At 30.5% G+C, this 27953-nt stretch overlaps 1 protein-coding gene across 1 annotated transcript; it reads left to right on the forward strand.

The window, feature by feature from the left end:
* The first annotated feature begins 4797 nt into the window (after positions 1–4797).
* Positions 4798–27953, forward strand: CYLC2 (cylicin 2). The gene is made up of 8 exons (NM_001340.5): positions 4798–4862; positions 11043–11083; positions 12607–12728; positions 14160–14316; positions 14434–15843; positions 21447–21562; positions 26353–26426; positions 27790–27953. The coding sequence occupies exons 1-5, from the start codon at positions 4846–4848 to the stop codon at positions 15141–15143; spliced, it is 1047 nt and encodes a 348-aa protein (NP_001331.1). The 5' UTR covers positions 4798–4845; the 3' UTR covers positions 15144–15843; positions 21447–21562; positions 26353–26426; positions 27790–27953.

Genomic DNA, 27953 nt, shown 5'->3' on the forward strand with positions numbered 1-27953 from the left:
AAAAAATAAATCATGAAAGCAATAGCAACAAATGAAATGAAACAAAATAAAAAGGGAAAAACTTAAGGAGTTGAATGATCGCTACAATGTAAACTATAAAACACTAATGAAGGAAAATGAAGAAAACACAAATAAATGGGAAGATACCCAGTGTTCATAGATTTAAAGAATTAGTATTCTTCAAATGTTCATATTACCCCAAATAGCATACATTCAATATAATATTCATCAAAATACCAATGGCATCTTTCACAGAAATAGAAAAACAATCATAAGCTTTGTATAGAAATGCAAAAGATCCTGGATAGCTAAAGAAATCTTGAACAAAAAGAACAAATCTGGAGGCATTATACTATCTGACTTCAAGACACACTACAAAGCTACAGTATCAAAAGTAGTATGCTGCTAGCATAAAACAGACACATAGCCATTGAAACGAAGACAAACAAACCTAGAAATAAATGCATGTACTTACAGCCAACCTATTTTTGAAAAACGCACTAGGAAAACGCATTGGGGAATGGTCAGTCTCTTCAATAAATAGTGCTGGGAAAACTGGATATTCTACAGGCAGAGGGAATGCAACTACACTCCCTACTTCTCACCATAAAGAAAAATCAACTCTAAATCCATTGAAGACTTAAAAAAAAAGACCCAAAACTATGAAACCCAAAACTATGAAATTACTAGAAGAAAACAGAGAAAAAAATTCACAAACCTGGACTGAACAATGATTTTTTGTTTAAGACCTCAAAATCACAGGCAAGAAAAGCAAAAATAGACAAATGGGATTGCATCAAATTAAAAAGCTTCTGCAAGATAAATGAAACAATCAATAAAGTAGAAACAACCTACAGAAGTTAAAAAGTATATATCCTACAAGGGGTTCATATCCAAGATACATAAGAAACTCAAACAAGTTAATAAAATAAAATGAAATAGTTTGATATAAACATGGGCAAAGTACCTAAATAGACATTTCTTAATACATACAAATGGCAAACAGGTATATGAAAAAACTGCTCTTGCAAATCAAAATGACAATGAGATATCACCTCACCACAGTTATAACGGCTATCATTAAAACAACAAAACCTACCAAATGCTGGTGAGAATGTGGATGAAGGGCACATTGTTGGTAGAAATGTAGATTACTATAGCCATTACATACAACAGTATGGAGGTTCCTCAAAAAAGTAAAAATAGAACCATCATACAATACAGCAATTCCATTACTGAGCAAATAGCCAAATAAAATAAAATAAGTATGTCAAAGACATATCTGCACTTCCATGTCTATTGCACCTTTTTACTGTGTTATCATAAAAAAGACTCAGTAAACACAAATTATAAACTATAAAACACTTACATATATACACATATACATTTAAAAACTAGAATATTTATGCTTGAAGACATAGTTACTAAGCTCAAAACAACCACAAAATACTTCTGTGTTATTGTAGTGTTGAAGCTGGATAGACATTGGCAATATCTTAAGATATCATAAAAATTATATATATGAGGCAGATATATTTCCATTAAGCCTCAAATACTAATACTATTTGCCATAAAACACAGTGAAATCTCATCTTGTTATAATAACATGCGTGAACCTGGATGACATTTTGCCAAGAGAAATAAGCCAGGCACAGAAATATAAACTCTGAATGATGTCACTCATTTGTGGAATCTAACACAAGATGATCTCACAGAAGTGAGGAGTAGAATAATGGTTACCAGAGGCTGGGGAGAATAGCGAAAGGGAGATATGGGAGAAGTTGGTCAATAGGTACAAAATTAGACATGAAAATAAGTTATGGTGTTCTATTACACAGTGGGGTGACTATAGCAAATAATACTGTATTACGTATTTTAAGGTAGTTAGAAGAAAATATTTGAATGTTGGTGTGGTTTGGATCTGTGCCTCCACTGAAGCTCATGTTGAATTGTAATCCCCAGTGTTATAGGTGGGGTTTGGCGGGAGGTAACTGGACATGGGAGTGGATTTCTCAGATAGTTTAGCACTATCCCCTTGGTGCTGGTCTCATGATAGCGAGTGAATTCTCGTGAGATCTGATTGTTTTAAAGTGTGTAGTACCCACACCCCCACGACCTGTTGCTCCTGCTCTGGCCATGTGACATGCCTGCTCCCACTTTGCCTTCCACCATGACTTCAAGTTTTCTGAGGACTACTCAGAATCCAAACAGATTCCAGTATCATGCTTCCTGTACAGCCTGCAGAACTGTGTGCCAATTAAACCTCTTTTCTCTATAAATTACTCAGTCTCAGGTATTTCTTTATAGCAACACAAGCATGGACTAATACAAATGTGATCACCACAAATAATAAATGTTTAAAGTGACGAACGTGCTAATTACCGTGGTTTGATTATTATACAATATATACATGCATTGAAAACCCACAACTGTACCCCATACATATGTACAATTATTACATGTCAATTATAAATAAAACTTTTGGAAATGATACAAAGTATTATACTGTGTAAAATGTCTTAGAATGCATTTAATAAGGTGATTTCTACATTTATATACCCTTTTTATTGTCTGAAATCTTTTGTGAAACAGAGGGAGATAAATTGATGATACATGAATAGAAAGACAGATTAATAAGTAGATATACAAATCATACATATAGACACATTATATATGCACATGCTACATAAATATGTGAAACACAGATTCACTGAAATTATTACAAGCTTGAAGAATCTACAATTATACATATTGATTTTAAGGATGAAATTATAAGCCATGTTTCTGAGTTAATAACGTATTGCAAATTCTTAGGAAATATATCTTGTTCAAGGACAACCTCCCCTAACCTTTACATTGTTATTATAGAAAAAATGAGTTAATGTATACAAATAACTGTATAATCTTTAAAACACTAAAAATGTGTATATATACACATTTATAAAGTAGAATATTTATGTTTGAAGACATGATTTCTAAGCTTAAAAACAACCACAAAAACATTAATATATGGTTATAGTGCTGATGCTGGATAGACATTAGCAATATCTAAAGATATTATATATATATTTATATGGCTGATATATATAAATATATGGCTAGTATATTTTGATATATTTCTATTAATCCTCATATTCTATAGTAGACTTTTAGTCTTAATATTTGATATGTTGTAGGCAAAATTTTAAGGCTCCCAACAACTTCAGAGTGTGGGCAGAATTTGTGAATAACAGGAGATAGCATTCCCATTATATGCTACATTATGAAGTACAATTGATCCTTAAGTTAAATACATTATCTAGGTTGCTTGAATCTAAGCATTTGAGCCCTTTAGGAAACAAAGGTTTTCCTCAACTGATAGTGGTTAGGAAGGCTGAAAAAAGATAAGACTGATTTAACTATGAGGACTCCATGAAATATTTCAGGTTTGAAGATGTAGGGGGATGTATTTGAGAAGGAACTTAGGCAGTTTCTAAGCACAGAAAGCAGCTCATAGCTGACAGCAAGGAAGAAAACAGAGATATCAGAATTACTGCCACAAGGACTTAAATTCCACCAGCTGAAATGTGCTTAGGCACTGATTCTTTCTTTGAGTCTCCAGGTAAGACACAGTTCAGCTGACAATTTGATTTCAGTCTTGTGAGACCCTAAGCAGAGGACCTAGTTAAACCTGCCTAAGCTTTTGAATTATAAAATTATGAGATAAAAATTGAGTATTGTTTTATGTCTTCAATTTGTAATAATTTGCTATGTAGCAATAGAAGACTGACACATGCTCATTATAAAAATATCATTGGCTAAGATATTACTAGATCATACACATTTAATTAAGAATGACAATAAGAGATTAATTAAAGAGATGATAATGCAGAAGGCAAGTATTGCCTGTTGCCCAGTCATTATTTAGATTTTAATGTATGATGATAGAGTCAATGCATTAGAGATTAATATTTTCAAAAGCCACTATAGACTATAAAATGCTCAACAAAATATTATAGAATTAGACATTATACTTTACTTATTAAACTATCACTTTTCAGGAAAACTTCAGTAGATATTCTCATTAAGTCAGATAGTGAAGTAATCAGATCACAGAAATCTAAATTATGGAAAGGCTCCCATCCCAGCTCCAATGCCTCTATAATTTATCATTGTGTAAGATCAGCTAGAAACTTTGAGTCAAACTACTAATATTTCTGTAGTTTACCCCTTATAGAAGCTTATATTTAATAAAATTATTTCTTAAGACAAAAAATAGCTAAGATATTTTAAAAAGAGCTAAATAAGAGCAACATGTTTAAATGCCTCTCTATATAGTACTAGTATTCATTTATTAGTGGGGTAAGATTATGAGTTTAATAAAAATGTACTAACTCATATATTTATAAGTTTAAAAAGCATATAGCTTTGTTTAAAATATTCTATGTATGAGAAAACAATACGTTTAAGATGAGAGAAAGACATGTAAAGTTATGCATTGATTTAACAAAAGTTACAGGAATGAAAGGGAATTTAGGATTACAGCTGATCCTCACAGATAAATGTTTAGACTTACCTTTTTTCCATATCAGTCAATAAATTACAATTACATGAAAAAAATAAAACAAATATTTTATTAAAGTGTAAAATCAATTGATTACTTTTAAAACTCCTAGCTAGATTTAGTCAGTAATAAGTGAAAGTAAATATTAATCTTAGAATTTTAGAGAACATAAAAACACAAGTGACTCCTTTTGTTTTACCCCTTTAATTCCAAGTGCTCTTGGCTTCTTTATGATGTCACCTTTCAACATCACCAGTTTGAACTTACAATACTTAAGTCCTGGCAAGTCATAAGTGGGGAAAATGTCTCTCCCAAGATTGTAAGTCAAATTTTATGTTTTAAAATAACTGAAATACTCGTTAGCTTTACATTTAACTTCTTTAGTATGAAGAGATATTTATTATATTATTATGATGCCATTCATAAGCAAAAGATAATGTGTTTAAGCAGACAAAGATTCTCAAGCAACATAATAGATTTTTTTGATTTAAGACATAGCTAGTGCATGCATTTCAGTAAAATAGATACCTGGCTTTGGATAAGTCTTTTTTGTTTGTTTTTTTACTGCTAGTCTTACTTGATTTTTTTATCACATTGCATTTTGAGTAATATAAAATAAAATAATTCATGATTTTCAGTCAGGGAACCACCTTGGAAATTTCTGTGAATATTTTTTGTGTATGTAATAGTGACTGAGGAGTGTGACTGAATTTTAGAGGAGGCATTATATCGCAGTGTTAACCTTTAGTAAAAAGTGGGGCAGCTCTATCCAAATGTGACCAACTGAATACTAGTGGTATCCCTCTTGCAAAATATTGAGTATGTGGAAGTACTTTGTAATGTAAAGCATATAATCCAGACATGAGAAGTTATATGACAGTAGTTTACTTATGCTTAATTTATTCTGTGTCAAAATAAGGTAGGTAAAGAGCACGTTTCAATTCTGTAAACCCTTTTACAGAGGACATGCAACAAAGGTGAAGGAATGGAGTTTTGTAATATAAAGTATGGGTGGGCCTTAATTTAGCAGTATTGTTAAAGGAAAGATAAAACATGAATATTAAAAATAAAATAGGCTTTCCATAGATACTGGTGCCCATTTTGTTATAAAACAATCATTAAAGTATAATTTTTGGTAAAGGTTTAAATGCATTTGTCATGATTACTTTAGAAGCTGAGTAAATTGATGCCTACTATGCAAAAATCTATGTTCTGGCACCTAACATGGCAGAATTACACTGTATTTTAATTACTTTCAAATATATAAGCACTGTAAAATATCGATGGTATTATTGTTATCATGAGCATCAAATAGCTTTCAGAGAACTTGACCACAATGGTTAGAAACCTCTTTTTGGTCTTATGGCTATTTTTTATGGTGTTATTCTAGTGTAATCCCAAAACATTCTGGTTTTTGTAGGAGGAAACTGATAGAAATCATAATCAAATGGCCTCACCATTAGCCAGAAAAGCATACATAAAAATTCTTAATAACAAATTAGCATATTTCTTTGAGTTCAAGTGACAGCTCCCAATTCATTGAACACGCAAAATTTAAGATGCAGAAAATTAATTTTCGACTCCATTTGTCTTTTCACTGAATTCTTCTAAGGATGGCAGAGCCTTAGTTTTGGACTTAACATTTCTGTGCCTATGGCTATCAACTTGTATGTGATAAAGAAAATTTTTCTGTTTGAACTCAGTTTTTCCTTTCCCACTTATTCCTTCTCTAATACCTTTGCTCTATCCAAACCTCAACTATACCATTTAATAGTTTCATCACTTCTGGCCTTGGCCTCAAATTTAGGTTGTGTTAGTCAACTCAGCCCATTTATAATGTTGAATAGAACTAAGATTTCTGAAACAGGTAGGAGAGGTTATCACAAAAATTTGGTGTGAGATAGGGTATCTAAATATATGAACATTTAAAATTCCAATATTAGCTTCCCAATCTCGTATCTAATGTATATTTTATGTTTTTCTCTCTATTGAGTAGCATTACTAAAGTCGTCTCTTACTATCCTGGTCTAGGGATTCACCTTGATGTAGACAAGGTTTTATAAATCCTGGCACCACTCACATCGTAGTCTAGAAAACTTTTTGTTGGAATAGAGGATTAGTAGGTGCTGGGGGTAGGGGAGATCCAGCATTCTGTCCATTGTAAGATGCATTATAATATTTTTAACAGTATCCCTGGTCTCTACCAACTAGATGCTAGTATCATCACACGCACATACACATAGACAATTGTGACAAGGAAAATGTCTTCAGACATTGCAAAATATTCTCTGGGTGAGGAGTTCGAAATAAATCCATGCTAAGAAACACTGCTTCAGAAAATGCTAGAGAAAGACAGAGAATCTTACTACACACAGAGCCATTCCTCAGCAAGACAGTAATCCTGGGGCAGTTGACCTTGCCTTTACACAGAGACTCCTCTAGCAAATACAAGAAGAGAAGCTCAGGCTGCAGTCAGTTCCTAGAAAACTTTCTACCATGTCTTTTATGGTCTTCTTTTCCCTGCAGCTGATGCAGATTCCAAAAATCTAGTCTACTAGCAAGATATCTGGCAATATGCATACAATCAGGAGGTCTATGAACAACTCACATGTAACTTGGGAAGATATATCATTTAAATCCTTTGACTTTGAATCCACTATATATTTTTAAAACACATCTAAGCAGAGATACAGTTACAGGCAAGAGGAAAGATGGGTGGATTTTGTATTTAGATTAAAATATAACCCAGACTAAAAGGAAAAATAATCAGAAAAACAAACTTGGTTAAAGGTTTACCCCTGAAAAAAATTTTTTATGGTGATAGAATAGAAATAGATTTTTCTCTTAAGAAATAAAGTCCCCCATGTCTCTTGCTTCTCTACTTTTTATTTCAGAAAACTTAATCCTAGTTTTCTTTTCAAAGTTTCAAATACATTATATTCTACATTGTTGACAATGGGAAACCTTTACCTCAGAACATGCACAGTTACTGAAAATGATTTTGAAGTGACTGAATATATAAGCTTGAAGTGAAGGTGGAATTTTAGCTTCTACATGCCATTTAATCTTGGTAAATATGAGGCCTTAATTACTGTGTTTCCTTATATATAACCAGACACTTTAATTTAATTTAAGCATTAGTCCTATTAAAAAACAACAACAACCTTTTGACTTAATAATCATTTTTCCCTCTTCTTAGGTTAAGTCATTAAATTAGATCTTATGGATTTAATTTAAAATTGTGAAAATACATTTACATTCATATAAATATATCTCAAAATAAAAATAAGGGATATACTAAGTTTATTTTCAATAAGACAGTTTGTAAGTTTCTTTAATAAGAATGTCAAAAATTGAATGCAAATGCACCCTGACCTAGATAATTACTTGACTGTACCAGAGAGGAAAGGAAAGAGATGCTCTCACCAGCAAAGCCAGACTTAAAGAGTGGGAAAGTGCTATCAAATCCAAAAGATCAAATTGCTTTAATTGCTTATCACACACATTTGCATAGTCAGTAGGGGCAAGGGTATTTGGTTTATTGCTGTTTGGGTTCCTATAAATGATTCTTACTAAAAATGCAAGAGGTTAAAATGTATTGAACTGTCACTAACTCTAATCTCATAAACACTAAGAAATACATAGAAAACTTTGATCACACAAAAAAGATACATTATGACAGATTCCAGTCAATCCAACTTGCTTTTCTCCAACCAATGACTGTTCAGTTACCCTATAGAGTCTTCCTTATTTTTGAAGTGAATACAATAAAATTATATTGTGTATGTGCTAGTATTTCTGGACTTTTTCTTTCAATATAATATTCCTTTGTATTCATTAAAGTTTCTATATTGCACATATAAGTAATTTATTCCTTTCGATTGCTAAGAAGTATTCCATTACATTTACATAGCACACTTAGTTTATCCATTCCTTTGTTGATGGACACTTGAGTTGCTTTTAGTTTGAGGTTATTGTGAATAAAATTGCTATGAACATTTTTGTCTAAGTCTTTCTGTGGACTTTTGTTTTCTTCCTTTTCTTTATTTCCTAGAGGAAAAGTTTTAATTCACTTATGCAGCTTTTATATGTATTTTAATAACTTGTTTCTGTATAATTTGCTTTTGTGTTATTTCAAGTTTTAATTAATTTTCCTAAATTTTTATCTTCTAATTTTGCTGGTATATAGAAATATACTTCATTTAAACTATTTATCATATAATCATTAAACTAGTATAATTCATTAAACTCTGTATCATATAAACTTATTACATTTGATTGGCAGCTTTAACAGTTATTATTATAGATGTCACTGGATATCATATTTACCCAACTGTATCCTCTACAAATAAAGACAATTTTACTTCTTCCTTTTCAATCTTAGTGCTTTTATTGCTTTATGAAACAAAATAGGATCTGGATTTAAATGCTGAATAGATACAGTAGGTTTATCTTTGCCTTGTTTCTGATTTTTAAGGAAAGACAGTCAATATTCCTCCAATAAGTTTAATTTTAAAAACAGGCATTATCTAGATGTATTCTATCAATCTGTGGGCTATGTTCTCTATTGCTGGTTTTCTCTGACTTTTTAATTACGAATGCATATTACTTTCTTTCAAAAATTATTCTGCATATACTGAAATGATCAGATGATTTTTCTTATTTATTTTGTCAATTGGAATGATTGCATTGGTTGATTTTAGGTCAAACCAACCTCATATTCTGGAAAGTAAACCAGATGATCATGATGTATTAGCAATTTTATATGTTTGTCAGTATGATTTTTTAAATTTTAAGAAATTATGTGTCTATAATAATGTGGGATATTCATCTGTAATATGCATTTTTAGAATTGACCTCAAAAGGATTTGGGTTATTTATATTAGCCTTGAAAATGAGTTGAAACATACTTACTCCTCCTCTACTTCTTTTCTTATATTGTTTTCCTAGTTTCAATGGAGAGATGTAAAACATTGATTTTAAACATTTTTTATAATATAAAATATTAAAACTGTAAGTTATTCTCTATGAACTTTTAAGCAGTATTCTATCATTTTCATAATTATCTTATTGTTCAGTTGCTTCTTTTTAAATAGGTTTTCATTGTGATCTCTTTTGGACCACTGGTTCTTTAAAAGGAGCTGTTTAATTTTCAAATATTTATATATTGTCTAGATAATTTTATTATTGATTTCAAATTCAATTGCTGGGTGATTAAATAATATGTCCTAGCAATTATAGAAGAAATTAACAGATCATTCTATTTTGAAAATCTATTTTGAAAATATCAAGTTTAATAGTGTTTCATGAACTTAAAATCTTTCCTCTTCGAGAGCATTTGGAATAATGCAGTTCATAATCATTGTTGGGTATCAACATTTCTTCTGTAGTATATAAATGTACTTTGACTGGATCTGAATTTAGAGATTCAGATATGATGGGGCAAGTAATTTTGGTGCATGTACTCAGTTTAAGAAAATGATAGGCTGGATAACTTATTGGTGAAAACATATTAAATATTATTCAGCTAATACAAATTTTTATAGCACGAAAAAATGTGCCACGTTTTATGCTGCTAGCTTCATTCTTTAGTCAAGGTATCAAGATACTGCTTTTCTATGCTTAAACCTTAAGTTTTACACGCTGTCAAATAAACACCACGTGTGTGTTTGTGTATGAGCACAAAAGCCTCAAACTCACTCATGACCAACGATGGCTCTATATCCAAAATATAATGAAACAATGTAAAATAATATTTCTCTAATAGATCTTAGGATTGGTCTCCATCACCAATAAATAAAAATTAGATCGTAAAACACTCCTTCGTGGGAACAAACATGTTAAGATAGTAATAAAACAAATGGGAACCTACAAATGGAAAACAATTTGCAATATAGTTTCTTTTTCAGATTTTCTTTAAAAAGTAATGAAATTCCTTACGAATTTTTGTGGTCCACACTGACATATACACATGCACACACAAATTCACAGGTGCACATATAGGCCATTTAATAATTTGGATTTGGTGGAGTTTTTTGAGACTATTTTGAGGATATGCTTTTACATAAGCGTAGAGTTTACAAAGTGATACCTTGTTTCAAATTCAATTAAGAGAGAATTTGGAGCATGAACTGGGAAAAATAATTCAACTGTGTTTTTGTAATTTTTTTAAATGTATATTTTCAGATGTGCAATTTGCTTATACACACACAATACATATAAACAAATTGCACATCTGAAAATATACACACATATATGTGATACATGTATGTATATATAGTTTGTTTGATCGACCATTATTTAGTACTGTTGTAATTTGAAAACACATTTGCTCATCTCTATTATCCTGGAGATGAAGTAATCTTATATAACAAAAGATATCTGAGATTGTGAAATATTTCTCTAGTTGTTGGTTGCAGGTACTGGAGTAAAATAATGACAGTTTAAAACAGTGATTTTTATATAAATTAACTAAAACCTTTCTTTTTTGTTTTAATAGCCAAAGAGTAAACTTTGGGCCATATGATAATTACATTCCAGGTAAGAAAGCATTCAATATTTATTACAAAACAGGTGTGCTTAATTTTATGGTAAGTATTATCCTCTATTCAAAGTGATAAAGCAAACATTGCCATGGAATAAAATTGATAATTAACTATTTCCCAAGGAACCTTTCTTACAGGCCCAGTGAACACCTTTAATATATGTTTTGCTTTGTTTTGAATCCAAGGAAGTTTAAGTAAACATGCTCAGTATATGAAAGCCGGAAATAGTTACATGTTAGAAGTCATACAATCAGATAATCTTACAGTTGAAAAGCAATGTAGAAATTGGATAAATAACTTCTTGTTTATGTCAGGAATTTCTTCTACAACATTCCTGATAGATTATAACCAGCTTATAATTGGCCCCAAATTTCTTTACTAGACAAGGCAAAGGTATTTGATTTTGAAGAACTTCAAATATCAAGTATTTTCCCCTCAGATACTGAGCCTAAATATAATTTTTTTCTGTACATTTTTCCCATTGTTCCTATTTTCTTTAGAAAACTCATAGGAAATGTCTATTATTTCCACACATTAATGCTGCATGTGTCTAAATACAAAGATGAAATCTCTCATTGGCCTCATTGGCAACTTAAATAACTTTAATCATTTGTATTATAGTTTTCAGATGACTTCACCTACCCAGTCACCATTCTGTAGGCTTTTTGTCATTTTCCTTTACAAAATATGTCACCTATAACGATACCATTCTTGGGTGTATAGCATTTGCCCCCTTTTTTTTTTTTTTTTTTTTTTTTTTGAGACAGAGTCTTGCTCTGTCGCTCAAGCTGGAGTGCAGTGGCATGATCTGGGCTCACTGCAAGCTCTGCCTCCTGGGTTCACACCATTCTCCTGCCTCAGCCTCCTGAGTAGCTGAGACTACAGGCGCCTGCCACCACACCTGGTTTTTAGTAGAGACGGGGTTTCACCGTGTTAGCCAGGATGGTCTCGATCTCCTGACCTCGTGATCAGCCCACCTCGGCTTCCCAAAGTGCTGGGATTACAGGCGTGAGCCACCGCGCCTGGCTGCATTTACTCTTGTAGCTTGGAAAGTTGTTACTAACTAAGGGGATCTTAAGTCTTAGCACTTAGATTAAATCATGTATTTACTGAATATTTATGCTGGCATTGTGCTAAGTACTATGGGAGCTACAGAAGTAGTTATTTTCTGTTATAATAAAATTGTATACTAACCAAAAGCATAAAGCAAAAACCTAGACTGGAAGAGATAGATTTAAAAGGAAGCAGTAAAACTGAGTCTTTCCATTTATATTATAGTTATGCTAGTTTTGCAATGACTACTTTATACAGTCATCTGTAAAACTGCTCAAAATAGAAAAATCAATTTTTATTTTCTCATATTGATAACAGAAAATTGCAAACATTACCAAATAAATGAAGTCATAATTTGAATCACTTGTTTATTCATTTACATGATATACGTTGCACGTAATGCCATTTCAGCTCTGATGGAATTCTATTCACTCCAAAATGTGTTTTTTGTCTCCCTTATTTTAGTCAGTGAATTAAGCAAAAAATCATGGAATCAGCAACACTTTGCCCTGTTATTTCCCAAACCACAACGGCCAGGAACCAAAAGGAGATCAAAACCTTCTCAAATACGGGACAACACGGTTTCTGTAAGCATTGGAAAGATTTTATAATTATCAGTAATAAGTAATAACTTAGTAATAATTATAACCATAATAAGTAATTATAATTAGTCTTAAGTAATCACTAAGTAGTAAGCTTGTGAAATCATGTATAGTTGTATGTGTTATAGATCAAAGCTGACCAACAAGTTTCTGCAATGATGGGAATATTTATCTCCGTAGTCCAATGAGGCTATTAAATACTTGAAATGAGGCTAGTGCAACTAAGGAATTGAATTTTACATTTAAATTACATTGAATTAAAGTAAATTCACATGTGGCTATGAAATGCCCTACTGAACAGCACAGTTAGAGATAATTCAAAGTCTACCACTTAAAGAAAATAGATATGTTTTATTTGCATTTTACTGTATACAGTTGCCCCTTTATTTCATATTAACTATTTTTTTCAGTAACCACACATTGTAAAAATTGTTTCCAAGGAGCACAAAATTATGGAGTTCCTGATGTTAGAGTTAGTGTGAACATTCAGGAAATGTTCTACAGCTGGAGAAATCCCTCATTTGAGTCATGGGATTACACTATACCTTTAATACTTCCTCAGTTCTGTAATATAGAATTCAGGACTCAGAGTATTGGAAAATAAATATTTCGCAATATTTCTGGAGTCAACATGGGATAAGCATATGCTCAAAGAAAAGTTTTCACAAAATAAATGTATCATTAACTTGTTTATTTTTAAAAATGTAACCCATTAGTAGTGAACAAAGTTCTTTTTTTCTTGCTGAATTTATTTTTCCATTTTTGTTAATATTTGTACAGAGATTAGCTATTTTTGCCATTCAGTTTTGTACATATTTAATTAGAAGTTGAAAACAAAATGCATAATTTCTCTCAAATTAACATTCCCTGTTGTAGATTTCATTATTTCAGTTACCAATCTGATCATACTCAATTTATATCTGCCAAGCAATAGGAGTTTCAGGCTTTTATCTTTAACCATGAGTAGCATTCTAAATTCCAGAGACTCTGAAAATGAAAATAGACTAAGATATGCCTCAATCTGAAACTATTAGATATTAGAGAATAGTTTCTGATTTACCTAGAAATAGAAGGTGAGCAAGATATTCCAAGAATTCTCAAGAACATACAGTTTAAAAAGCCTCCTATGATTGTGAAGATATGCCATGAGTCTACCAATTTGAACCTAAAATCCCGAGGGAGCTATGAAGATCCTATAAACTGAAAGTAAGCTCCAAATGAGGCATGATTATTCACTAGTTTAAAAAAAGGATGACAATAAAAAAGCAAAATAAAGGATGAAATCTCAAACTTCCCCATTTTTTAACAAAAGCTAAAATCTTTTTATGGTTGAAATTAAAATATATTTGGGATATATTAATACAAACTGTGTTATTCACTCACAAGTTGTTCATCATTATTGTAACCATCTTTCAGATAATTGATGAAGAACAATTAAGAGGAGATCGTAGACAACCATTATGGATGTACCGTTCTTTAATGAGAATTTCTGAGAGACCATCTGTTTATTTAGCTGCCAGGAGGCAGCCTCTCAAACCAACTCGTACTGTCGAGGTGGATTCTAAAGCAGCAGGTAGAGATAACTTACTGTTTTTATAGTATCTCTGTAATTTTCTGATTAGATTTCTATTAGAATTTTATCAAGTTTGGATTTTCCCATTTTAAGAAATATTTGAATATTTATCCCCAGAAATTGGTAAGAAAGGTGAAGACAAGACAACACAGAAGGACACAACAGATTCGGAATCAGAATTAAAACAAGGAAAAAAAGATTCAAAGAAAGGCAAGGATATAGAGAAAGGAAAAGAAGAAAAGCTAGATGCAAAGAAAGATAGCAAAAAAGGTAAAAAGGATGCAGAGAAGGGCAAAGACTCAGCAACAGAATCTGAAGATGAAAAAGGAGGTGCAAAGAAAGATAACAAAAAAGATAAAAAGGATTCAAACAAAGGCAAAGACTCGGCAACAGAATCTGAAGGTGAAAAAGGAGGTACAGAGAAAGATAGCAAAAAAGGTAAAAAGGATTCAAAGAAGGGCAAGGATTCAGCCATAGAATTACAAGCTGTAAAAGCAGATGAAAAGAAGGATGAGGATGGAAAAAAAGATGCAAACAAAGGTGATGAATCGAAGGATGCCAAGAAAGATGCAAAGGAGATTAAAAAAGGTAAGAAAGATAAGAAGAAGCCCAGTAGTACAGACAGTGACTCAAAGGATGATGTCAAGAAAGAGTCTAAGAAGGACGCCACGAAAGATGCCAAGAAAGTTGCCAAGAAAGATACTGAGAAAGAATCTGCTGATTCAAAGAAGGATGCAAAGAAAAATGCTAAGAAGGATGCAAAGAAGGATGCAAAGAAGAATGCAAAGAAGGATGAAAAGAAGGATGCAAAGAAGAAGGGCAAGTAGGCCTTGGATAAGAATTTGAACCGAAAGAATAATTCAAAAGCATATTTGATGAAACAATAGTGGTAGTCTGCAGCTGAATTTGTGAGAAAACAAGAGGCCTCAAAGAATTAAATAATTTTTAAAAGGTGGTAAAGAAGGATACAAAGGAGAACTCAGCAGAGATTTATAAAAATATATAAGAAAGATGTTAAGAAAAATTAAGGGGGGATCCATTGAAAGACTTGAAGAATACATATACTTATATTCGGGGATATGAAGGATTCAATGAATGATCTCTAGAAAGATTTAAAGAAGAATATTCAGATAAGGATGTTGAAGATAATGACACTAAATCTATGGACACACACACACACACACACACACACACACACACACACACACACACACACACACAGTTTAATGAAGGCTTAAAGAATCCAAGGAGACAGATGTTGTATCTATAGATTTAAAATAATCTCAAGCTGCATCCACAGATACAAAAAAATATAGGAGCCATGAAATGAAGTTAAACACCTTGTAGAAAGCCTACTTTCAAGTAAATATAGCATTCCTTTGGCAAAAAGAAAAAAAAAGTAAAAGAAAAGAAAAAAAATGTATTACCACCCGATGAGCCTACATCTTTCTTTCTGAAGTTTAAACAACCACAGTCATGTTTATGGTTGTTGGATGTGCCACTTCCAATCCAAAAGAAGCACACTTGGTAAGTCAGTTTTGTTTTGTTTACTTATTTATTTATTTATTTATTTATTTTTTGAGATGGAGTCTCTCTCTGTCGCCCAGGCTGGAGGGCAGTGGCGCGATCTCGGCTCACTGCAAGCTCCGCCTCCTGGGTTCACGCCATTCTCCTTCCTCAGCCTCCCAAGTAGCTGGACTACAGGCGCCTGCCACCAAGCCCAGCTGAATTTTTTTGTATTTTTAGTAGAGACGGGGTTTCACCGTGTTAGCCAAGATGGTCTCAATCTCCTGACCTCGTGATCCGCCCGTCTCGGCCTCCCAAAGTGCTGGGATTACAGGCGTGAGCCACCGCGCCCGGCCAGTTTTGTTTTATTTTAAGCCAGATTGAATTAATTATTGTCTTTTTCATTTTTGAGGGTACATAGTAGATTTAATAATAATTGAACCAAATTATAATTAGATAGGAGGAATAAGTTCAAAAGATCTATTTTATAGCATGGTGACTATAGTTAATGACAATATATTGTATTCTTGAAAAATCAATGCTAAGAGAATGAACATTGTGCTCTCATCGCATAAATGATAACCATGTGAGGTGATGCTTATGTCAATTAGCAAGATTTCAGGATTCCACAATGTATACATGCTTCATAACATCATATTGTACACGATAAATATGCTTTTACTGATCAAATTAAATAAATTTAAAATAATAAACATCAAACTAAAGGTTCAAATTGACACTGTTCTTATATTATCTCTGTAATTTTCTGAGTAAATTTCTTTTAGAATTTTATGAAGTTTGGACTTTCTCATGTTAAGAAATATTCAAAGAACATGGAGAGACAACGAAATAAATGAAGCTTTAAAAAGTGTCTGTGGAAAGGTTAAGGAAGTCTGTCATGAGGGAGAGGTTACTAGCTTATGATAGATGATATTATTACCAATTAAGCATCCAAAGTTTTAAAATAGAAAATATTAATCAATTTATTTTGATTGAAAGAAGGATGAAACTCAAAATTGTTTATTACCAACAAGAACAAATTTAAATGAGGCATATGAAAGAGCTACTTGATAAATGGCTAAATACTTCACAAAACTAAATTAACCAAAATTTAACAGAGTGTAACAGAGTAAGAATATATACATAATATTTATTTAGATGTGGAAACAATTAACTTACTGTCTCTAAAACAGTAAAACTCTGTATTAAACTCTGTTGTGACCCATAAGTCCTGTTGATTTGAGGAAAAAATAAAAAGCAGTATTAAGCAAAATGCAATATCCTTGAACTTCTCAATTAAATGACAATTCATTTATTTCTGATTTAACATTTTCTTAAATAAACTCAGTGTTGCTGCAGAACTTGCTAAATGATTTTCTCTTTTTATTCTTCCTGACACAAACTTTGGATGCAACATAAAGCTTCTCTTGGACATTAAAGGAAGGGTCTCCTAGTCTGTATGTTCCTAAGAGCTACCTTCCAAGGAACAGTAAGGAATAATTGTTTTTCTTTAACACTTAACATTGGGTCCTGTCCCTCCTGCATCAACTACTAAGAGTCAGTGGTTATTGTAACTCCTGATCTGCCAGGTGATCACACGTTGTTAGCCTGGGTCAGCTGTAATGGCAGAGGGAGTCAAATCCTGGCCCTTTGTTCTCCTCCCACTCCCTCTAGGAACCTGCTCATCATCTTCCTCTGCATATAGTAAAATTATGTGTTGAGATTGCTAAACTTTTCTGGAAATGTTACCATCTCTCTGAAGATTTAGGAAATCATTTCAAATCCTCTTTTTCCTCTATAAAAAGGCCCTTAAAATTATTTTCACCAATAGGATTCAAAAGTCAGGTTTTAGATTGAAATGTAATGTAAAATGACAGAAAAATTGAGCTTCTACCTTTAATATCCTACTGAGGTGCGCCATCACTAAATTTTCTTGTAGTTAAATTTAATAGCAGTGTCCTTTTATTCCAGTACCTCTTCATTTACATCTATGTTGTTTTCTCAGTTATTCCAATAAAAAATAAAAATGAAAAAAATGGCTTTACATACCATTCTTATGCTGTTGAATTTTATATTTAAATCTAGTATTTACTTATTTACTCAGTTCCATATTCCCATATCCAAATACTTACTTAAGCACCTAGTTGACTAGCTTCCAGGTATCTCAAAATTAACAAATCCCAAAGAGAACTGTTGACATCCCTCCAGCAATGCCTCTTTCTCCCCAAGTTCTGCCAAACCCATTAAATGACGTTGGTATCCAATCTGTAGCTTAATCCAAAATCAGTGAGTCATCCCTAATTACTCTTTTTTCTTCACCCTGCCTACTAGTAGTAAGTCCTATCCTGTCTACCTACAAAATACTCGAGTTGGTATAATTCATTACATTTCTACCACTTCTGTACACTAAAAGTCCAATCAACCATTATCTCTTACTTGAAAACTCCAAAGCCCTCTAAGTGCAGGGGAAGCCCCTGCTTCATGTCTCTCCACAACGCCATATCCCATTCTTCATATAGAAACCATCATGTTTCTCCCTTGGTCAAAGCTTTCTAGTGTACTGATGCCACACTTACCATCAACTTTTCTTTTGCTCTGGCTTATAATGCATTAATGATCTGTGTGCTGACTATTTCCCTGCCCTCATGTGACAACACTATTCCTTTTGTCTACCATGCACTTGTTGCATTGGATTTTTAAAAATATTTTACCACATGTAACCTTACAATATTAAGCCTTTACACTTGTTCCTTCTCCATAGAATGCAATTCTCCTAGAACATCACACTGTTGACTCCTTCAAAATAGTCATTCTCAGCTTACATTTTACATTTCCAGATATATTTCATAGACTAATTTATTTTTTGACACAGTGTCTCTCTCTGTTGCCCAGGCTGAGGTACAATGGTGTGATCACAGCTCACTGCAGCCTCAACCTCCCCAGGCTCAGGTGATTCTACCACCTCAGCCTCCCCAGCAGCTGGGACTACAAGAGCTCTTCACCACATCCAGATAATTTTTGTATTTTGTAGAGATGGAGTTTTGCCATGTTGCCCAGACTGGTCTCCAACTCCTGGGCTCAAGCAATCCACCCGCCTCAGCCTCCCCAAGTGCTTGGATTACAGGAATGGTACTATCAGAGACTAGATGTTAATAATTACATCATGGAGAATGGGGTAACTACCCCTTCAAAGATTTATCCTTTGTGTTAAAAACAATATAAATATACTCTTATAGTGATTTTTAAATGTACAGTTATTACTGACTATAGTCATTCCAATGTGCTATCAAATAGTAGGTCTTATTCATTTTTTTCTAATTTTTGTGCATTAACGATTCTCATCTCTCCTTCAATTCCCCACTACCTTTTCCAGACTCTGATAACCATCCTTTTACCCTCTACCTCTATAGTTTGTTTTAATTTTTAGATACAACAAATGAGAGAGAACATGCAATGTTTCTCCACATCTTTGCCAACACTTTTATCTTTGTAATAATAACCAATTTATATATATCACATATATACAAACATACATATGTGTACACACATACATATATGTGTATATACACACATATATGTATTATACACACATACATATATGTGTACACATTGAATTTATTACATTTTACATGTATGTGTATATATATATATATACATGTCAATATAACAAAAATAGAAAATTTAAAATAACCCATATCATTTTTGATGGCATCAAAATATGCAATAATTTTATTATCACTAATTGATTCAAACTTATTTTCATGAGAAATCAATACAATCAATTTTAAACAAATAAGAATTTACTGAAAAAGTGCATAGAAGTTGTCATATACCAAGTTAATTATGTACCAAGTGAAAAGTTTTATACCAAATTACTTTATAATCAAGAAAATCCTTGTAAAAGCAGTGGCAAAATACAAAATTATTGCATAATTATAATCATATTCAAGTTATCTCACAAATGCTTAATCCACAAAATCTTTTTTAAGTTAAAATAACAGCAGCAGGAAAAATGACTACTATTTATTTACTACTATTTGCTAAACGCTTTCCTCGTATTATCACTTAATCCTCACAATCCTAATATATCTCCATTTAATTGAAGCACAGAAAGGTCAAGTAACAATAAATTTGCACAGAGAGTGCAAAACCAGAATTTGAATCTGAATGAATCTCATATGACACCAACGTTTAGACTGTGGTTATGTAGTGTAATTGTTTGTGGATTTGGGAGAATTTTTCTTTAGCACCACAGGTTCAGTTTCTTCATATCCTATGTATCTTTATTTGCAAAAATGTATAGTTATGTTAAAATTACATAAAATTATATTATTAGTTTAAAGATCTACTACAGAATTTAAGAAGGCAGTTGTTCTATTCATAATTGCTCACAATCAGCCTCTCCTCCTACTACTGTTCCTACTCTCTATACCCTTTGTGTCTGCTCAGTAAGTATTGCACATTGCTTAGTAGTTTACATTAGTTGTATTTGCAGGAATGTGCTGTATTGAACAAATATGGAAATTAAAAATATGCATAGAATCCTAGATCAACCATTATGTAATAATAAAAAGGGACTAAGAAGCAGGATGTAAAACACTGAAGTCAAAGAAAAATGGAAGAATACTAGTGTATGCCTAAGAATATTGATTCTAGAAACCATTACAAAAAATAACAACTAGATATAAGATTATCTGCTAATGATTACTAATGTTCTCTAACCCCTCCAAGATAAGGACTTCCTTGGTATATATGCATTGAGAGAGTCACAGTTAACATTGAAACAGTACATACATGCATATACGCACATACAAATAAAAGGCTTTGTTTTTATTATTTCATTTATTATTTTTGCACCAAAAGGACAATGTGCATTGTTCTCCATTCTTTTCTTTTGTGAATTTGTAAGCTGTTTGAAGATTTTTTACCCCCCTTCATTTTGTTTAACTTTTAGTGTAACTTTAAAACAGGTTTTTCAAGTACTAGGGGACATGAAATACTTACGTTTCATAAAAAATGTTTTATATCAAACATTGTCACATAGCTTTGATGGCTAAGTAACTTACTGAATTTTGGTACTTTAGGTTGAGGAACTTAAGCTATTTCTATAGAAAAGGTGACAGTCATTCTGTAATGGTACTTGAAACCTGATAAAACCACATGAGTGACAAAAATGGGGTCCAAGTGAAGCTAACCGATTTTGAAAAATGGGGGAGGGAGTGATGGCTAAGAGGATAAGGCACCATTAATACAATTCCAAAAGGGCTCAACTTTGCAAGAGATGGCAAAATCCAAAACCATTGCTCTGTGGGTTTATACAATAAAGTGTTCTAAAGTTTATTTATGAAATAAACAGAAAATTTTGCCTCTAGAGAAAAAGGTATGTCTAAGGGTCATAAACATCCTAAACTTATATGCAAGTGTTGTAGCTATTTGCATAATTTTTATACAAAGTTTGGCCTCTTTAGAAAGTGAGAGTCCAGGAAAAATATGAAAGGAATTTTGAAAATGATATTATTCCAGTTCTCTTTGCAACATGTATCTTTGTCAAATCACAAAGTAATAACTTGCTAATACTTAGATCATTCTCTTTTTTTTTTTTTTTTTTTTTTTTTTTGATCGAGTCTCGCTCTGTTGCCCTGGCTGGAGTTCAGTGACATGATCTCAGGCTTACTACAGCCTCCACCTTCAGGTTCAAGTGATTCTCCTGCCTCAGCCTCTCTGGTAGCTGGGATTACAGGTATGCATCACCACATCCAGCTAATTTGTATTTGTTTTGTTTTAGTAGAGATGTGGTTTCACCATGTTGGTCAGGCTAGTCTCAAACCTCTGCCCTCAAGTGATCTGCTCACCTTGGCCTCCCAAAGTGCTGGGATTACAGGCGTGAGCCACTGTGCCCTGCCTTTAATACAGACAAATATATGAGGCAAACATACACAGCCCCTGGCCTCCTTTCAGTCATTTAGTATTTTTATATCATGTTCCTTCAGGTCCACTTTTTTAACCATTGGACAATGCCTCATTAGTAAATACACCAGATAAAATAATTCCGGTGTTTTGAACATATTGAATATGGTATCTGAAGACACCGAATATTTTCTAAGGGAGCACAGTTCCATTCTAAGCCTTGTATATAGTTTATGACAGTTTTTATAATTATTCTTTTTTAAATAATTCAAATGTAAGTTCTTCACTTAGCCTAATCTGAGCCCTAATCCATAATAAAATAAAATTGCTTGTGTAAATAAAGTAAAATATAGAATAAAAGTATTGTGGAAAGTATCCAGTGATAATATCTAAATAATAATTGAGTTTTCTTATCAGGCTGAACTATTTGGCAAACATATAAACAGAAACGTACTCCAGGTGTTAAATATGTTCAATAATCAATTTTATAGTTATTAATAAGTTATTATATGTGGTTTATTTTATACTTTCTCAGTTATTGGATGCAAAAGAAAATAGCTGCCATAGTCATCATATGAGCAGTTTTACGGTAGGCAAAATCAAAGATTTTCAGGGTATATACAGAGAAGATAGTGAGTAACAAATCACAGTATGGTGTAGTTTGGCATTCGGAAAAAAAGTTAAATTTATAAAAATCCATAAACTTTGAAAGTGCATTTCTGTTGGCTGGAAAAAAAAGGAAAGGGTATGATTTTATTGATAGCAAGATTAAGAACCAAAAATGCACTTAAAAACTAATTGTATATGTATAAATATGTATCATAAATAATATAAAAATATATATCATAAATAATATAAAAATATATATCATATAAATATATCATATATAAATATATATTATATAAATATATATTTAATATATTATATATAACATATTAATGTTATATATTAATATGTATATTATAAACATATAACATGTAAATATATATTTAATGTGTTATATATATTATATATAACACATTAAATATATATTTACATGTTATATGTTTATATAACCTATATATATTTAATATATTATATAAATATATATTATATAAATATATATTTAATATATTATATAAATATATATTATATAAATATATATTTAATATATTGTGTATCATATATACATAATACAGAAATATATATTTATCTATTATATATTATATAAATATATATTTAACATATTACATATATTATATTTGTAAGAAATAAATTATATTAAGTATATATTAAATTATATTAAAATTAATATATGTATATCTTACATATGTATTTACAATATATAAATATATTTATAAATATTTTATATATAATATGTTATATAGATATATATTTATATAAAAATATAAATATATTATATTAAATAATATATATGATATATAATATATCCTGTACATTATATATTATATATATTATGCATTTTATATATAATTATATATTATATTATATATAATTATATTTTATATTATATATTATATGATTATATTTTATATTATATATTATTATGTATATAATATGTATATAATATATAATAAAGATAATACAATGTATTATATATTATATATTATACATATAATAAATAATATATTATATATAATATTATATTATACATTATATATCATATCTATTATTTAATATAATACTATATATTATATATTATTATATTATATATTATTTAATATGATATTACAGTTATATTATAATATATTAAATATATTATTCATATTATATACATACTTTATATATCTATTTAATATTTCATATATAAATTTAAATATTTAATATATAAAATTAAATATAATAAATATATTTTATATTATATTATAATATATTAAATATATTATTTAATATATAATATGAATATTATATATCTCATATATAATATATAATATGAATATTATATATCTCATATATAATATATAATATATATGTATGTAATATATATCACATAATATATTACATTAAATATATTACATAGTATACATAATATTACATATATATTACATTGTATATATTACATAATGTATATAATATGTATATATTACCTAATATTACATAATATACATTATGTATATTACGTAATATAACATAATGTATGTTACGTAATGTAACATAATAACATAATGTATATTACATAATATACATAATGTATATTACGTAATATACATAATATGTATATTATGCAATATACATAATATATGTAATATACATAATATATGCAATATACATCATATGTATATTATGCAGTATACATCATATGTATATTATGCAGTATACATCATATGTATATTATGCAGTATACATCATATGTATATTATGCAGTATACATCATATGTATATTATGCAGTATACACCATATGTATATTATGCAGTATACATATGTAATATACGTATGTATATTATGCAATATACATATGTAATATACGTATGTATATTATGCAATATACATATGTAATATACGTATGTATATTATGCAATATACATATGTAATATACGTATGTATATTATGCAATATACATATGTAATATACGTATGTATATTATGCAATATACATAATATATGTAATATACTATGTATATTATGTAATATACATAATATATGTAATATACATAATATGTATATTATGTAGTATACATAATACATGTAATATACATATTCATATTATGTAGTATACATAATACATGTAATATACATATTATGTATATTATGTAGTATACATAATACATGTGATATACATAATTTGTATATTATGTAGTATACATAATACATGTAATATACATAACATGTATATCACGTGATATACATAACATGTATATCACGTGATATACATAACATGTATATCACGTGATATACATAACATGTATATCACGTGATATACATAACATGTATATCACGTGATATACATAATACGTATATACCTATATTTATATATAATCTGATATATAATATATATTATATACATATATTTATATATTATATAATATAATTATATGTTATAATATATATTATATATAACATATACAATATATTATGTTATATATATTATATATAATCATATTATATAATGTAATATATATTAAATATATATATATGCTTATTATATATTATATATTATAATTATATACTTATATATCATTAATATATATATTATATAATTATAATATATAATACATTATATGTAATTATATAACATATAAATATATATAATACATGTTTATATATAAATATATAAATATTATATATAAAATATATGTATATATACATAAAATAAATCTCCTTCAGCTAATTTTAACATAAATCACCTTTAAAGTATGTCTCTTGAGTGTTCCTTGGACTCTCTACTTGACCAGCGCTCTACCTTTCAGAGTAGCTCGTTTTTGTCTATGACTAATATGGCTTTTAGAAAATGTTTTTTAGAATATTTTGCCTTTTATAAAATGTGTTTCTTACATCTAGTTTTAAACTGTGCCAATATATCATCTAAAATTCTAGTTTCATATCTTGTTTTGTCCCCAAAATACCAATATCTATTATACTATTCCACTCTAAATACCTCTGTAACCAGATAAGATGGAAAGACAGAAGCTAATCTCAACTTCTAATTCCCATTAAGGCTCAGGTCTGGAAATTATATATATATCTAATTGTATATATATAATATGTAAGTATATATACATACATATGTATGTGTATATGTATCAATTATCTATCTATATGGATTTTGATAGATAATTGGTAATTCACAGTATCAATTATATATACAGATTTAGATAGATAATTGATATTATCTATATCTACATATACACATTTATGTCTCAGATATAAGTATAGACATAGAATTTTTCTATCTGGTATATTAAAAATGAGTTATTTTCTAATGGTTAAGAAACAGACCTGATGGAGCATAATGTATATCATATATAGATACCTAATTGGGAACAACTTAAATAAAAGCTGATAAATTATTGGGTAAACAGAGTGGCCTAAATAAGATTCAGAGAAAGCAGCAGTCACTGGCCACAGAGGTTCAGCACAATGCTCCAGGAAGAAGCTCTGGGACAGCTTTTCTCTCTAGCACATTGCCATGGAAGATCTATGCCTGCTGCTCTTTCTAGACAGAAAAATAAGACAGGATTTTAATAAATTATAATTTCAGTAGTTGTCACATGCATATGTGTGTCCACAAGCCATTTATCCCATCGGTGTTCTATTTTCTGCTATTTACTACTACTAGGGCATTTTATATTCTAGTATAGGATGTTTTGTGAGAGGAGCCACTATTTTTTAATCTCTATCAGTGACCTATTAATTTCAGGTTGTTGTTGTACCTGGTCATTAATCAATGTTTATAAAAGGAGACAAGAAAGGAAAATTAAAATTTCATATGGATTGATTCAGTTGATTTACAAGGAAAGACAACTTCCTCTTAGGAAGAGGTATTTTGTCTTAGGTAAAGTAACTTAATGGCATAACAGATGGCTGAACATGAAAGATGAGGCCCCAGTGCATAGCACATATGGAAGTTTACATTAGAAAAAAATAATTCATCTACATAAGAGATAAACTTTTTGTTTTTGAAAGGGAAGGAAAATAGCTGGCATTTCTTGCTGGAGAAAGTTATCACAAGTGGAAAGGTTACCCTAGAAACAAAAGATGTAAGTAAACTGAAATTTACCCTTATGTGTAATAGCCATCTAATTTTAGAACAATGATGTTTAATATGTAATTTAAAGGTTTTTTTTTTTCATGTTGTTTTCATCTGCTGTCCCATACCTGCAATAAAAGTCATTTGAGTAAGTGGCTTTGCTTTGATGATACTTAAGGGGAAGAAATGGAGAATTAATTGGGCTAAGCATGATAGTAAAGAGGAGAATGGGATTTCAAAAGGGGATTTAAGGTGGGTGGCATTTGAGAAGAAAGCTTAAAAATGAAAATTATTAGAATATGTCCTAGTAACACCCAACTTTCCCTAAATTCAAAAAATATTACAAAGTTGGAAAATATTAAAGTTCATCATAGTTTAAATTTTCCTATTTAAACAAAGTAAAGGGCATCTGCAGAATGTTGAAAGTTTGAAACTTCATGGACTTATTTATTTCATAAAGGGCTCTCTAACTTCTACACAAATTAGAGTTTTAGTTAATTGCTCCTAATTTGGTTTACTGAATAAATTGATCTGAAATAAAGTATGCTTTTCAATTATGTTTAGCAAGTTTCATTCATCTCTTCAGAAACTTCTGTTTCATTTCCTCCATTTATACAAACCTACATGTTAACATATTCACAATATCTATTTTCCTAAACCCAGGACAAAGAATATCAATTGGTCCCTCTGTAACTTTTCCTAGATATAGTTGGTAACTTTTTCTTAGAATGTATGCATTAGGGGTAGACTGGTTTGCTAGGACTGCCATGACAACAAACCACAGACGGGGTAGCTTAAATAATAAGCTGTTTTCTCAGTGTTCTGGAAGGCTAAAAGTCCACAATCAAGATATTGGCAGCGTTGATTTCTTCTCAAGCCTCTCTCCTTGGCCTCTATGTGGCTATGTTTTCCCTTTGTCTTCACATGGTCTTTCCTCTGTGTGGATCTGTGTTCTAATCTCTTGTAAGACCCGTCATATTGCATTACGGTCCATCTTAATGACCTCATTTAACCTTTATTACTTCTTTAAAGGCCTTGTCTACCCAGTCACATTCTGTGGTGCTGGAAGTTAAGACTTCAACATGTAAATTTCAGGGTAGACAATTTATCCCACAACGAAGGTATATGAGATCAGTTTTTTAGTTTTAATCACTCAGAAACCTAAGGTTCTGAAGTAGTATCTTCAGTTGAGGAATTTGTACTCATTTTTTGGTAGAAACTCTAATTTGTTTAAACAATGAGGAGAACTTTATGACATAATTGAAATCCATGTATTTTCAGACCTTCAGCATTTGGTAGATGCCCTTTACTTTACCACTGCTTCTGGGAGAAGGTTTAGCATCTCATTTGACTCTGATTTGATTGTGTTCCAGGACTACCGTGAGGATGGATTGGACATTACACCACACTGGAAAAGTGAAACATCTCATTCAGTTGGTGATCTTCCTGTCATGAAAGTTGCTTGACAGCTCTAATTACGAATTGAACACATTAAACACCTGGTGAAATTATCAATTAAAAACATCTAGTCACCATA

This window comes from Homo sapiens, chromosome 9, assembly GCF_000001405.40.
Source record: "Homo sapiens chromosome 9, GRCh38.p14 Primary Assembly".
Lineage (NCBI taxonomy): Eukaryota > Metazoa > Chordata > Mammalia > Primates > Hominidae > Homo > Homo sapiens.

Coding starts and splice junctions, on each gene's coding strand:
- CYLC2 (NM_001340.5), top strand. Junction 12,729..14,159: donor TACGGGACAACACGGTTTCT/GTAAGCATTGGA, acceptor ACCATCTTTCAG/ATAATTGATGAAGAACAATT. Junction 14,317..14,433: donor GGTGGATTCTAAAGCAGCAG/GTAGAGATAACT, acceptor ATTTATCCCCAG/AAATTGGTAAGAAAGGTGAA.